The sequence below is a fragment of the Homo sapiens genome, chromosome 3, assembly GCF_000001405.40.
Source record: "Homo sapiens chromosome 3, GRCh38.p14 Primary Assembly".
NCBI lineage: Eukaryota > Metazoa > Chordata > Mammalia > Primates > Hominidae > Homo > Homo sapiens.
In genome coordinates, this window is record NC_000003.12 from 177,564,051 (window position 1) to 177,578,521 (window position 14,471).

At 41.8% G+C, this 14,471-nt stretch overlaps 2 long non-coding RNA genes across 2 annotated transcripts in view; one reads left to right on the plus strand and one right to left on the minus strand.

Moving 5' to 3' along the window:
* Window positions 1-14,471, plus strand: part of LINC00578 (long intergenic non-protein coding RNA 578) — a 310,784-nt gene that overhangs the window by 122,130 nt on the left and 174,183 nt on the right. The gene's annotated exons all lie outside the window — the stretch shown is intronic.
* Window positions 5,907-7,319, minus strand: LOC124906306 (uncharacterized). Its single transcript, XR_007096176.1, has 4 exons — window positions 7,237-7,319; window positions 6,847-6,922; window positions 6,534-6,585; window positions 5,907-5,990 (listed from the first exon to the last, which is right to left on the minus strand). It is a non-coding gene; the product is annotated as an uncharacterized LOC124906306 (long non-coding RNA).

Genomic DNA, 14,471 nt, shown 5'->3' on the forward strand with positions numbered 1-14,471 from the left:
CCTCTTCCTTTAATTCAGTAGTTTCCAATCTTTCAGGCTATGAATGATAGTACTAGTCAACCTAAAAACGTTCATAGACTCCCACATGATATAGCTGGTTTCAGGTTTCTTTTTTTCTTTTTCTTTTTTTTTTTTTTTTTGCCCTGTTGCCCAGGCTGGAGTGCAGTGTCGTGATCTCGGCTCACTGCAACCTCTGCCTCCCGGGTTCAAGCAATTCTCCTGCCTCGGCCTCCTGAGTAGCTGGGACTATAGGCATGTGTCATCACGCCTGGCGAATTTCTGTATTTTTAGTAAACACAGATTTCACCTTGTGGCCCAGCTGGTCTCAAACTCCTGGCCTCAAGTGATCCACCTGCCTTGGCCTCCCAAAGTGCTGGGATTACAGACGTGAGCCACTGCGCCCGGCCAGTTTCAGGTTTTTATCATTCTTTTGAGTCATGATTCCAGAGAAAGAGTTTTTCCCTCATATATAGGTTAGGAAAGTCATGGAGAATTTTCTTATTGACCTGAGCCACGTATCCCCATCTTACTGGCTTAGGTTACATATCCAGCCCCTTCTCATGAGTCCAGCCCTCTGGGCAGGATTAGCCCCATTTAAACCACATGGAGTGGGTCCCTCACAGAAAAGAGCAGTTTTGTGGCCAGAATAAAGGAGACAGGATGATGAGCTGACAAAAATAGTGAACGTTTCCCCACATTTAGAAAAGTGCTTTGAAAAATTGTGTAACAATATATAAATGTATAACATTGATAGCCTTTTCTCATTCTGCTATAGACTTCAAGCATTGATTTTAAAAGTAGAGCAATTATGTTAACAAATATAGCAAATACGTGGGCAGTGTGCCCTACTTCACCAGTTTTTAGTGCATGTAGAGTAAAATCTCCCAGCTGTCCATTCAGTAGCTCAAAGGCCCACCTGCTTTTATTAACAGAAATTCTAATATGTCTCTCTTGGACCTCCTGTCAACGCTGATTTGTCCAAAATGTTCCAAAATCTACTCAGATTAAAGAGTGCCAATCCCTGATGCTCTTAGAGATTCTTTCTTGCTGTTGCTTTCACTGCCAGGTAGTGCCCCTGTTGAAAGCTGTTCTTGTCCCAATGATGGACCCACTGCTTCAGACCCCCTGAAGACCCCTGAAGACGCTGGCCTTGTCTTGGGCTCCAGGGCTCCAGCTCACACGCACAGACACTATTTATCAACACTCAAGCCAAGAGGGGATGATTTCCAACTTTGGCTTAACACTGTGTGGGAGCTGGCCATTTCCAAGAGTCTTTGGGCCAATAGATGAGACTGCAGGACCACATGTCCCTATTCCTGGTGAGTTCTCCTCTAGGATTCTTTTTTTTTTTTTTTTTTTTTTTTTTTGAGACGCAGTCTTGCTCGGTCGCCCAGGCTAGAGTGCAGTGGTACGATCTCGGCTCACTGCCAGCTCCGTCTCCCAGGTTCACACCATCCTCCTGCCTTAGCCTCCCGAGTAGCTGGGACTACAGGCGCCCGCCACCATGCCTGGCTAATTTTTTGTATTTTTAGTAGAGACGGGGTTTCACTGTTAGCCAGGATGGTCTTGATCTCCTGACCTCATGATCTGCCCGCCTCGGCCTCCCAAAGTACTGGGATTACAGGCGTGAGCCACCGCGCCCGGCCTCCTCTAGGATTCTTGAGGTCTTCTTGACACTAGACCTACATCATGGTCCCCAGTTCTTGCTCAGTGGTGTCTATACCTTTGAGTTAAGGTAAAACCCTGGTAAAACCAGAGGCCATCTCTCAGAAGGCCTCTGGGCTACTGGGCTTCTGGTTTATCAAGCAAATTGGTTTATCTTCTTATATACTAAAGAGAAGGACTACTTTTCCTAAGTCTCTGGAAGGATGAGGTTTTTAAATGCACCTTTCCCCAGGGCAAGGGGTGCTTTTTAACTTTAATTTTTACAAAACAGCCAAACTACTCTTTCAAGAACAACAAGAATAACAAAATCTTCCCCAAGGAGACCTCTTTCCAGATGGTAAAAGGCTGGCATAATTATTTTAAAATTCTCCCTCCCTGGGCATCCTGTTAACACAAATGTAAACCTGGATTTCTGCCTCAGGCTTGTCCCTCCTGATGTGTTCACAGTGTTAATGAATGACATCATTCTCTACCTGGGTGACCAAGGCAGAAACCTGGGAGTCAGGTTTGGCTCTTCTTTTAGACTTGTCTGCCACATCCAAGCAATTAGCAAGTCTTGTCATTTCTACCTCCTCAATATCAACCGGTTATGTCCACTGCCTTCCAACCTCATTCCCACTAAGTTCCCTAATGTCTCCTCTGAATTTTATGGCGAATCCTTCTGATTTGGTGTTCACATTATGGTCTGGATATTTACTAAACTGTAAATGTGATCGTATGACTTGTCTACATACAGCTTACCAGTGACTTCTCATTGTTTTTAGGCCGAAATCCAGAAGCAGTCCAGCATCTTCCTCACTTCTCCAGGGTTATTTCCCACTGTTTCCTTTTTCATAATCTTTGTTCCACCCATACCAGAGTCCTCACGCTCACACGGGGCTCCAGGCTCTCTCTGACTTACGGAGCGAGCACTCACTCATTCAGATCCTGTGCTCTGGAAACATCCCCTCCCTCTCTCACTCCCCTCTTGCCATGTTGTGTGTGCTCCTGTTTAAACTCAGATTGCTCACGTCCCAGCCTGGTTTCCATGCCCTGCTGTGAATTCTATACGGCAGGGGTCCCCAGCCCCAGGCCACACAGCAGGAGGTGAGCAGCAGGTGAACAAGCGAAGCTGAGTTCCGCCTTCTGTCAGGTCAGCTGCACATTCGATTCTCATAGGAGCATGAACCCTATTGTGAACTGCGCATGTGAGGGATCTAGGCTGTGCACACTCCTTATAAGAATCTAACACCTGATGATCTGAGGTGGAACAGTTTCATCCCGAAACCATAACCCCTCCCCTGCCCTGTCTATGGGAAAATTGTCTTCCATGAAACTGGTCTCTGGTGCCAGAAAGGTTGGGGATTGCGGCCGTACGTCCTCCACCATGTCACATTCTGCAACGCTGTCTTTAAATAGCATTGCCTACCAATGGAAGTTAGGAAGTCAATGCTGAGCCTCATGATGCCACCAGCCATATCTGCACAACCACCATCATGTTTCCAGAGGTTAGAACAGCATCTTGTGTAGGGTGGACACCTAATACCTATTTATTTAAATAGTAAACACATTAATAAACCTTACAAGGCAGCAAAGGCTTGGGGAGAGGATTTTCAACGGCAATTAGGAAGTGTGATTTTTTTTCATCTTTTCTTACTCTTTGAATGATTTTTATGTATGACTCTGCATTACTTTTTCACGGGAGACGAATGATCATGCCCTAACGGGACAGAGTCTGGTCCTTAGTCAGGGGCTCCTGGCAGAACTGGCCTTCTGGAGGAAGCACTTATCAGCTCCTTTTAATTAACTGTCATATTTTCTACCTGTGACCCTAACTACTTTAAGAAAAAATGTGAATGCCACACAGGCACCTCAGAATATGAAAAAAATGCATTTGAAGGCCCTTGAGTGAGATGACTGATCAGGCTAACTCTGAATTTCCAGTCCACTTGAAGTGAAATAATGGTCCCAGAGATAAAATTATACAACAAGGAATAATGTTACAAGCTGATAACACCAACTTTCTGACCCAAGGATGGTTTCTTTTCCCTCTGAAAATCATATTTCCACCAATAACATTCAGAAAGCTGCTTATCTGGGCTGGAGTTCATGTGACGAGGTTAGGCATGAGGTATGCTACAGTGGCTATTTGTACTGATTTTCTCCTCTTAAAGCATGCACTTAGAAAGTTCCTGTAAAGCAAAATAGACCTTTTTTTCTTATAGATTATTTTTCTAAAAAAATGGCAAATCATAAACTACTGACCTTAAGAGAAATTCAATAAATCATTAAAATGCCACCACTTGCAAACCCAGCTCTGACTAATTCCTTAGGCCTGGCATGATCAGATACACTAAGACTTCAGTCACCCTTACCAACCACCTAAATACTGCACACCATGGCAGCCTGCTGAATGCGAGCCCCTGGATCAGGGTGATAGGGTTTTCTTTTGGCTGCAAATGTATTGTGTATGTATTTATTTTCTGGAGTGGAGGAAGAGGAACACAAAAAATGGTTTCTCTGCAGCCCATGTGGTGAAACGTGTCCATTTGCAGAGAGGTGCTTCTTGTGAGACATGGCCAGTTGGGGCCTCATACACAGAGACAGGTGGATGTTTTCCCCTGTGGTCTTAATTATTCTTACCTGAGAGAAATAATAGAAGATTGACAGAACTAAAAGTATCATTCATAGGCTAGTCTCGTTTTGAAAGACTAAATGTGAGGATAAATACTTTTTCCTTTTTTGGAGGTGTGATTTTAAAGTTTCTGTTACTTGAATTAGAAAACTAATCCCCTCTTATTTGAACAATTCAGATGATACAGATACATGTAAGAAAAATAAAAGTTTTCTCCAGTTGCCTCTTCTCCCACCTACATTCCTCTGTTACTTTCCTTATTTCTTTGTGATTATATAAACATATAGGCACATGCATGGGAACTTTGTTTCTATTCTATGTAAAAACAATAAACATATTGTCTCATAACTTGCTTTTTTGTTTATTTATTTATTTATTTATTTATTTATTTTTGAGATAGAGTCTTGCTCTGTCGCCCAGGCTCAAGGCTCAAGTGTAGTGGCGTGATCTCGGCTCACTGCAAGCTCCACCTCCCAGGTTCAAGCAATTCTCCTGCCTCAGCCTCCCGAGTAGGTGGGATTACAGGCACTTGCCACCACCCCCAGCTAATTTTTGTATTTTAGTAGAGATGGGATTTCGCCATGTTGGCTAGGCTGGTCTCGAACTCCTGACCGCAGGCGATCCACCCACCTTGGCCTCCCAAAGTACTGGGATTACAGGTGTGAGCCACTGTGCCTGGCCTTGTTTTTAGTTTTTTTTTTTAGCTCAATGTGTCAAGGATATCTCCAGTCATCCCGTCTTTTGAACTCTATGGGGCTTCTGTTCTGTGCCATGAACATGACACCTGTGTCCTCTGTTACGTTCTTGTGATTGCTCCTGTTTCATATATTCCTGTCTTCTCTTCTGACTAGGTTTAAAGAAAAAGACAGTATTATTTGCCCCTTTCCCCCAGTGCTCAGACTCACTAACTGACCCTTTTGAGTTGTTTCTAATCAACTCTTTGGGCTGAATTTCAGTTTAAGTGGAGTCCTTTTTGTAAGCACCTGCTTTGAAGCCATGTATTTTGTGTTCCTTGGCCACTACCCAATTACCACACCAAATGTGCGCAGTTAACTATCTATGCAACCGAAGTGAAGCAGTTGTGCAATTACCCAGATAATTCAGGGAAAGAAGGGCGTGCTGCCCTAATGACTCAGGTAATACTTGCTACGGAAATCTGGTATAAGAAGGAAGATTTCTTTCTTTTATTAAATGTTTTATAGATATGTGGGTGAATCTTCTTGGGGTAGACTTCATGGTGGGCTCTTGCCCACCTGGTAAAAGTTCCCTAGGTAATTGTGAAAATCACCTTCCTTATTTAAAGATTATTGTTACAGGGAATGATTACATAACCAGGCACTTCTTCTGAGATAGAAGTTAGGAAGTCAATGCTGAGTAAAAATACATAAGGTTCTTGCCCTCATATGGGTTATGGTGTGTATTAGTTTCCTAGGGCCGCTGTAACAAAGTATTACAAACTGGGTGCCTAACACCAATAGACATTTATTCTCACAGGTCTGGAGGCTAGAGGTCTGAAATCAAGGTGCTTGCAGAGTCATGTTCTCTCTGAAGACTCTGGAGGAGGACTCTTCCCTGCCTTTTCCGGCATCTGGCAGCCCCAGGTGTTTCTTGTCTTGTGGCAGCATAAGTCCAGTCCCTGCCTCCATCTGCACATGGCCATCTTCCCTCTGTCTGTGTGTCTTGGTGTCTTCACAAGTGTTCTCCCCTCTCCCTGTGGGTCAATGTTTGTGTCCAGATTTCCCTCCTCTTATAAGGACATCAGTCATATGAACTCAGCTGACCCTAATGACCTCATCATAACTTGCTGAAATCTGCGAAGACCCAAGTACCAAATAAGGACATATGTACAGGCATTTGGGATTAGGACTTCAACATTATCTTGTTTGTGGGGACACAATGCAACCCATAACAGAGTCTAAGTTTTCACCCTAATGGGCCAGACAGACATTTAGTCAAATCATTAGGGAAACAGATACAAACTTACAAAAGGAGAAGGTCTATAGAGGAGAGAGACAGGGTGCCCCAACAACTCACATAATGGGCATTAGACTTGGCCAGGATTCTGGGGAAGTAATGCTTGGCTGAGTAAGCATTAATTAGGTGCAGATGGGAGGGAAAAGCAGGTTCAGGCAGAGTAATCAACATATGCAAATGCCCCTAGGGAGAGGAAGGATGTAATTACCAAATACTTGTGTGAGTGGAGTGGAGGGAGCAAAGGCATGTGATTAGGATGGCTAATGTTTGCGAGACTCACCATCACATCATGCAGGACCTGGAAATGGATGCCGGGTATTTGTTTTCTTCTCCTAAGAAAAGCAGGGTGCATTGAAGGGTTTAAGCAGAGGACAACTTATGATTTTCATGTCACATCAATCACTCTAGCTGGAGAGTGGAGGACAGATGGGGGCAATGCAGACTGGATGAGCATAGGCCAGTTAGGAAACCCTGGCAGGTATGAGATGATAATGCCTAGACTGGGATGGTAGAGCTGAAGGAGGAAAATTTCAAAAATTATCTGGAGGATAAAACAAAATAGAAATTAGGAGTTGATTACATAAAGTGAGGACCTTGCTAAGGATGGCATGGAGAGTCCTGGCCTGGGAAGGCTGGTGATGACTTCATGGAGACAGCCCTGAAGACCACCTGTTTTGGGGAAGGAAGATGGTAAGAGTAGTTCCATTTGAATTGACATTAAGACATTCAAGAGGAGACATTAAGCAGGCATTAGATATACAGGGCCCTGTTGGAGGAAACTAACACTTTATTTAGTAACTGAAATTTAGTGCTAACCTAAAAAAAGAGGTTGGGTAAGATCCTGGGCCTTAGAGATTTCAAACAGGTTTCAAAACCTAAGGCAGATCATTATCTACTAGCCATATGTATTAGTCCATTTTCTGTTGCTATAACTGAATACCTTAGACTAGGGAATTTACAAAAGAAAGAAATTTATTGCTTACAGTTCTTGAAGGTGAGAAGTCTAAGGTCAAGGGGCTGCATCTGGTGAGGACCTTCTTGCTGGTGGTGGCTCTGCAGAGTTCTGAGACAGTTCAGGGCACCACGTGGTTAGGAGACTTAGGAAAAATGGCCAAACTGGCTTCTGTAACAGACCCACTCTTGTGATGACTAACCCACTCCCTCTATAACCCTGTAATCCATTAATCCATGAGTCCATTAATCCATGAAGGAATTAATCCACTCATGAGGTGGAGTACTTATGACCCAATTACCTCCCCAAAGTCCTACCCCTCAACACTGCTGCATTGGGTACCAAGTTTCCAACTCTTGAACTTATAGAGGACACATTCAAACTATAGCACCATGTTAACTATAATTTTGGTAGCTACCATCAGACAATGACTGGGGGAAGCCTGCTAATTGGTACAAAGGCCTAGTGAATGGAGTATTTCAGACAAAGCTGAGGAGACAAAAATGGCACATGATTCAGCAAATTTTAATTTTTGTATAAAACATTTCACTAAAATAACAGGTGAGTAATTCATGACCTCTAATTGCTGTTTTGTTTTGCATCAGAGAAGATTTATATAAACACTTTTTGAAAAGGCTGGTGAAGTACCACTTCTTGTAACCTTACAAGCATTCTTTCAACCTAATACAACTTAACTTCCCTTTCTGTTCTCTTGAAAGCATTTACTTTCTCTTACATCTTAAGTTTCCCTGCATTTTCCCTTAGCTTTCCTGGGAGACACTTGTAATTTGAGTATTAAAAATGTTTTAGCTCTTCCTCTTGCTGCTTGAATTCATCCAGGCTTGTCAGCCGAATGGCTTTCCTAGCTCAGTTTTCATGCTTGCATCTCGCTAATTTGCCACCCCTCTCCTGAAGGAGAGAGAGCTCCTTGCTTTCTCTTGGGGCTGATCTCATCCTGCTCTGGGAAGCTCCGAACTGCCTCTCACTCCAAGTGCCAATCTCTGACACCCCACCTTGCTTTGGTTATTCAGACTTTTTCCAAGACTGAAAAAGAAATGTGGATGGTGTACCCCTTTCTCTCAAATCTGGCTCTTATCCTGAGACAATTTCTTTCCAACCAGGGGAAAAGCTACCCCAGCAACTAAGCAACCAACTAACGCAATTAACATTTCCACTCCTCCTTTATCAATATTCTATGAACATCCAGTTGCTTCTTTGCTATGCTCAGAAAGCTGAATTGGATCAAGGACTGCAGAGGGGTGTGGTGCGGAATGTCATGAAGGGGCCAAAATGTACAGAGGGAGACCCAGAACCTGATGAAATTTCCTCGTAGTTTAAGTCTACTGTATGCATCTCAGATGCATCCCCTGGAGGGGATAGGGACAAAACTCTGAGGTAACAAAGATGAAATTTCTGGCACTTAGCAGAATGAGGGCTTGGGAGCACACATAGGTAGATTAAAGGAAAAATAAAACAATTCTTTTTTGCGTTTTGAATTTATGGACCGAAATTTATATTGCAGTTGTCAAAAGTAGTGGAGGACAATAAAATGACACCTAGTAAATTTATAGACTGTTTTTACTGTGAAGGTCACAGGGTAGAAAGTGGTTTGCTCCTAAAGAAATGAAAGGGGAAACGAATAGGATACTAGCCTTTCTCTTTCTACTATTTCTGCAAGCTGAGAAATATTCTAATCTTAATATTGGTTTAGAAGCCCAGATAGTTTCCTCAGCTTCTCCAATTGTAGAAACAAGTTGCTCAGTTGGAAATTCTCAATGCTTTATACATTTACTTCTTCACCCTCATTCTCACTTGCCCTAGACAATGCCTCCATTCTACACAGAGCCACATATTTCTTTTTTTTCCTTTTTCTTTCTTCTTTTTTTTTTTTTTTTTTGAGATGCAGTTTTGCTCTTGTTGCCCAGGCTGGAGTGCAATGGCACAATCTCCACTCACTGCAACCTCTGCTTCCTGGGTTCAAGCGATTCTCCTGCCTCAGCCTCCCTAGTAGTTGGGATTACAGGGATGCGTCACCTCGCCTGGCTCATTTTGTATTTTTAGTAGAGACGGGGTTTCTCCATGTTGGTCAGGCTGGTCTTGAGCTCCCCAACTCAGGTGATCTGCCTGCCTCGGCCTCCCAAAGTGCTGGGATTACAGGCGTGAGCCAGCACACCTGGCTGAGCCACATATTTCTTATCTGCATCATTCTTTCCGGAAATAAATGGGGGGTAAGAATAAATGCATGTGTTCTATTCTGACAAATTAATCATTTAGATAAAACAAGTGAATTAATACATAAATGCACAAAATAACCTTAGTGAACCTCACTGGGTGCTTACTACCTGACGTGCACTGAGTACTTGGAGTATCTCACTAGGAATGCCCCATGAACTAGATGCTATTGTTCTTATTTTACACTTGAGGGAATTGAGGCTTGCAAAAATCTATGTATCTTGGTTAAGGCCACACATTGAGCCACCAAAGGTCTGGGATTTGAATCCAGGTCAGCTTAATGTCAAAGACATTTACTCAATTACTAACTATGCTGTCTGCATGAGCAGAGAAGAAAAACGATTTTCCTACTTAGGCACACGTCTTCTTCAAATGCTGGTCCAGGGATGCTCTGACCTTGACAAGTTACCACATAAAGCTTATGCTTCCAGAGGTGCAAGTTAAGTGTCTATACAAGGGGCTAATTGTACATGAAATCCTAAGTGGTGAGATTCATCTCTCTCTGCCCATTGTATAAAATAACTGTGTATACACTCTATTTCTTTATGAGCAGCTAACCCTGGGACTCAGGGCTGCCAGAATGAGCAAATAAAATTAAAAGATGCCCAGTTAAATTTAAATTTCAGGTAAATAACAAATCATTTTCAGTATAAGGATGCCCTATGCAATATTTGGGGCATATTTATACTAAATTTTTTTTATTGTTTATTTGAAATTCAAATTTAACTAAGCATCCTGCATTTTATGTGGCAACCCATCTGGGACTGTTCTGTCACTGTAAAGCACGTGCTTATATTCTTTGCTCTTCTGCCTAACACTGAGCTCCACCATGGCTAAGGCTGCAAAGAAACACACACACACACACACACACACACACGCACACACTTGGTAGCTATGTAAATACCAACTAGCGCAGCCCAGGAAGACATCCCATGTGGGTGTTTTGTCCTGGGCTGGTCTTTCCCAGCAACTCCTCCCTCCCACTCAGTGCTTGCTGACTGAGGAGCTGCCCATAGCTTGGCTCTCCTTCTCCTCCCTATCATCAGTATTTCCCTCCCTGATAGCAAACACTCCAGTCACTGCCTTTCACAATCAGTACCTGGTGCAGATGATCCTAAGGTCAGAATGTTAGAGCTAGAAAGACTCAAAGAGGATTTTTACAAGTGAGGAAGCCGAAAACATCATAAAGATCACTTGTTCAAAGTCACACAGCTAGGCAGGGGCGGAGCTGGTGCTGGAATTAACATTTAGCAAGGATTTCTTCTAATTCGGGTGGCTCTGCCTTACCACAACATGGGGTCAATGTTCCACCCCCCTGTTTACTTGCACGATGTGGGGCACTTTTCCTCTTCCTTGATGGTGCTGTTGATGATGGTGATGATCATAACAATGTCCGATTTCTTTGATTCTAGACACTTTACACATAGCATATCATTTAATCATCACAATACCAACAAGGTATCTCTTATTCACTGCCAAAGTTGATCCACCAGCTTTTCATGCTGCTAACTCTAATTTTTACTCTCCCCAGGAACAACAGGGACCCATAATAATAATTTGCAAAGAGAGAGTTTGGGAAGTACATATTTGTGCTTATTAAACTCAACAACTCTTTCTCTTTTTGCTTCTTGTTTCCAAGGGGTGGGTAGATGCTGCAACTGGGGAGACAACTTATGTAGCTCTAATCCTGTTCCAATATATATAGCCTTCCAAAGGCTTCTTAAATTTCCTCCTTTTTTTCTCTACTAATTCCAGCATGCTTTGCAATGCACACTTATTTTATTGCTTTGAGGAGGAAGAGATTTTTGGGTGTGTGTTTCCTTTAAGGAAGGATGAAGCAAGAGTATAATGCAAAAGCTCATAGAAATCTTTAATTCTATCCATTTGGACATAGTTGTATTTGATAGAAATAATTGGGGAAGAGCTTGTATTCTTTGGAACATATGGAAATCTAATAATTACTTCATTTATTGAGCAGTAATTATGTGCTGGACAGTAAATAAGGTATTATATGTTATCTACTGTATTTTTTGTTCTCCTGGTAACCAGGTGGGGTAGGCATTACTATCCCAATTTCACAAGAGAGGAAAAATGAGTCTCTGAGGGGTTTAAGGAGTTTCCTCAAGGTTACATAGTCAGAAAGTAGAAAAGTTGAATATGGGACTCAGGACAGTCCAATTTGAATGTCAATGTTCCTTGTTAGTGTGACACTTATTAATGTTGGAAATTATGCAGTTGTATTTTTGAGAACCGCTTTATATTGTTTCTTTTTAAAGTTTCACAAAGCATACTAGCATGTTAAAGACTGAGAATTCCTGCAAAAAAAAAAAAAAAAAAAGTCTGTTTGACTTTATTTAGCCCAGAGTTTGCATACAGAACATATCTGAACACGGACCATGAAGTTTTTTTTCTTCATTTTTTTTCAGGGACCATCTTTGCAATAGCTTTACCTATTCCATAGTAAAGGCTATGGTTATACTTGGGATTACAATGGACTTAACACAGTGCCATTTGAGGCTCAATTAATGACCTCGGGAGGAAGCTTTTATAATGTAGAAAACTAACAGGCTGGAAAAAAATAATAGTATTTTGAGATATCTGAAATGCTGTCATGTGAAAGAGGGATTAGATTGTTTCAAATGTCTATAAAGGGTAAAACTAGAACCAACGCATAGAAGGCACAGGAAAATACATTTCGGTTTCACTTAAGGAGAACTTTCCAATGGTTAGAAGTGCCAAAAAAAATTAACTAGATCCCCCATTACCAGAAGTAATTGACCATAGTCTCCATGCTACTTGTGAAAAGAGCACTCTAACATCAGCAGAGCTCTTGAATTAGGTGACCTTTAAGGTTTTGCCAACTAAGATTCTGTTTTTATTTAAACTGGTTAATCTTATCCACAAAATATCAATTTAATGCTGAACAGTTGGTCTACCAGTGTATAATTGTATAGAAAATAGCCAGTTGCATAGCAAACAACAGATTATATGTCTGAATTTTTTTAACTCTACAATTTTTTTGGCAGTACATACTGCAGGATATTGATGTGAATGGCCATATTTTCTTTCAGAGATGAGTATTCTTTCTTAATGTGTGTTTCACTCTGCAAAGGATTGGTTGTTGACTTAATTGGGGGCTTAGGAATGGTTTCAGGAGAAGCGCCGATGGGGTAGAATGTGAGTTATTTTCTGTGGTGCTGGTATGTCCAGGTTTTCTCCTGTGCAGTAGTAATAAATTTCTGAAAGGATAGGTCTAGGTAAGCAGGTGAGGTTTTAAATATCTTAGTTATGTTATGTAAGTAAACTTATATTAAATATGTTTACATATGCTGCCCAAACTCTCAGAGAGGAAACGGTGAAAACATAAAAACTCTACAGTCCCCACACCCACTGTGACCTAAAATACTACAACGCCTCCAAGGAGCAGACCACTGGGAGCCTTGATGCTATTTATGGAATACAACAATGTGTGATGTATTTGACTCCATTAGACAAACTGTGAACCGTTTTACAGGCAGGAAATATGACTATCTTATAAGCATGCATTATAAAACCATGGCCATGAGCATGAAAATCACCCAAGCTGTAAAACCAAGTACATACTTTTTTCTGTTAATGGGTGTTTGCTACCTATTTGTTTCTCGATGCCTGCCAATTTGCTCACAAAGAGTGGCGGGCAGTGAAATTAAAAAAGAAAATATTGTGAAAAAGACTGATGTAATCTCAGTCCAAGTTTCCACCATCGAGTACCATTCTGTAGGAAATTCAGTTCCCTGTTGAATACCCGAGGATTGCTGGAGATTGCTTTCATGTCCTGATCGTCACTTGCCACTGCCCTTGCCCACACCACCTCTGCTGCTCCAGAGTCATTCCACAGATTTCAGTTACTCAAAGTCTGTCTGACCCCCTCCAGCAGTAGGTGGGTATTTCCTGGCCCCACCTTAACCTTCTGACGAGAATCTGCATTTTAGCAAGCTCCCCAGGGATTCAGATCCACATCAAGATTTGAGAAGCTCTGTTCTTGGTCACCTCTTGGCCTCTCATAGAGGCATTGTCCCAAGCATGGACACCGAGGGGCCTTTAGCCCTCCTTGCCCCTGTTGTATGTACCACTCTTAACTAAAGGCATCCAAGGACCAAGGACGATACACAGCACAGGAAAACTAAAAAGTGGATCTCAGACATCTCTGCACCCTAAGCTTCTCACAGCATTTACAGGATAGGGGCTATTTTCTTCTTTAAACCTTAGGCTAAAACTATGTTGCTAGGGCCTACATCTTCTTCAAATTAAAGTCACCTTTGTCATGTATTTTTCCCTTCAATTCTCAGAGCTATAAGTCCTTGCCTCTGGTGTTCTCAGGGCAGCCCTAAATTAACATCATAACCATCTTTGCCCCCAAGAAAGAAAATCCACTCTACTGGGCAATTTCACTTTCCTGGTTCAACTTCTCCTTCTAGGCCTTGGGTCTGCCCTTTCATAAACATAGCCAAAAATCTCTTTAAAGGATTTTCCTAAGCAAAATAGCAGATTTCCTCCAAGGATAAATCATATACCACCACTGGGAGATGGAAACAGCTTCAGGAAGATCTTAAATGATATTTATATGCATATGAACATATACATACATATACATATATGTCTTGCTATACTTTAAATTAAAAATCTATTAATATAATTTCTGACAAACTAAAGAAAGAATACTATTATTTGGATACCAAGTTCTATGGTGAGTATTGTTTAAAAAACTGTCATCTTATTCTTTATGCTATATTGTCTAGTTTCAGTTTGGTTTGGATCTCTCAATTGATATTTTAGGTGATGATGCCAAACCATCCAAGAATTTCTCTGGAGATAGACATTATTTTGTTATAAAAGATATTTTAGCACTTTGGGAGGCTGAGGTGGGTGGATAACCTGAGGTCGGGAGTTCGAGACCAGCCTGGCCAACATGGTGAAACCCTGTCTCTACTAAAAATACAAAAATTAGCTGGGCGTGGTGGTGCACATCTGTAATCTCACCTACTTGGGAGCCTG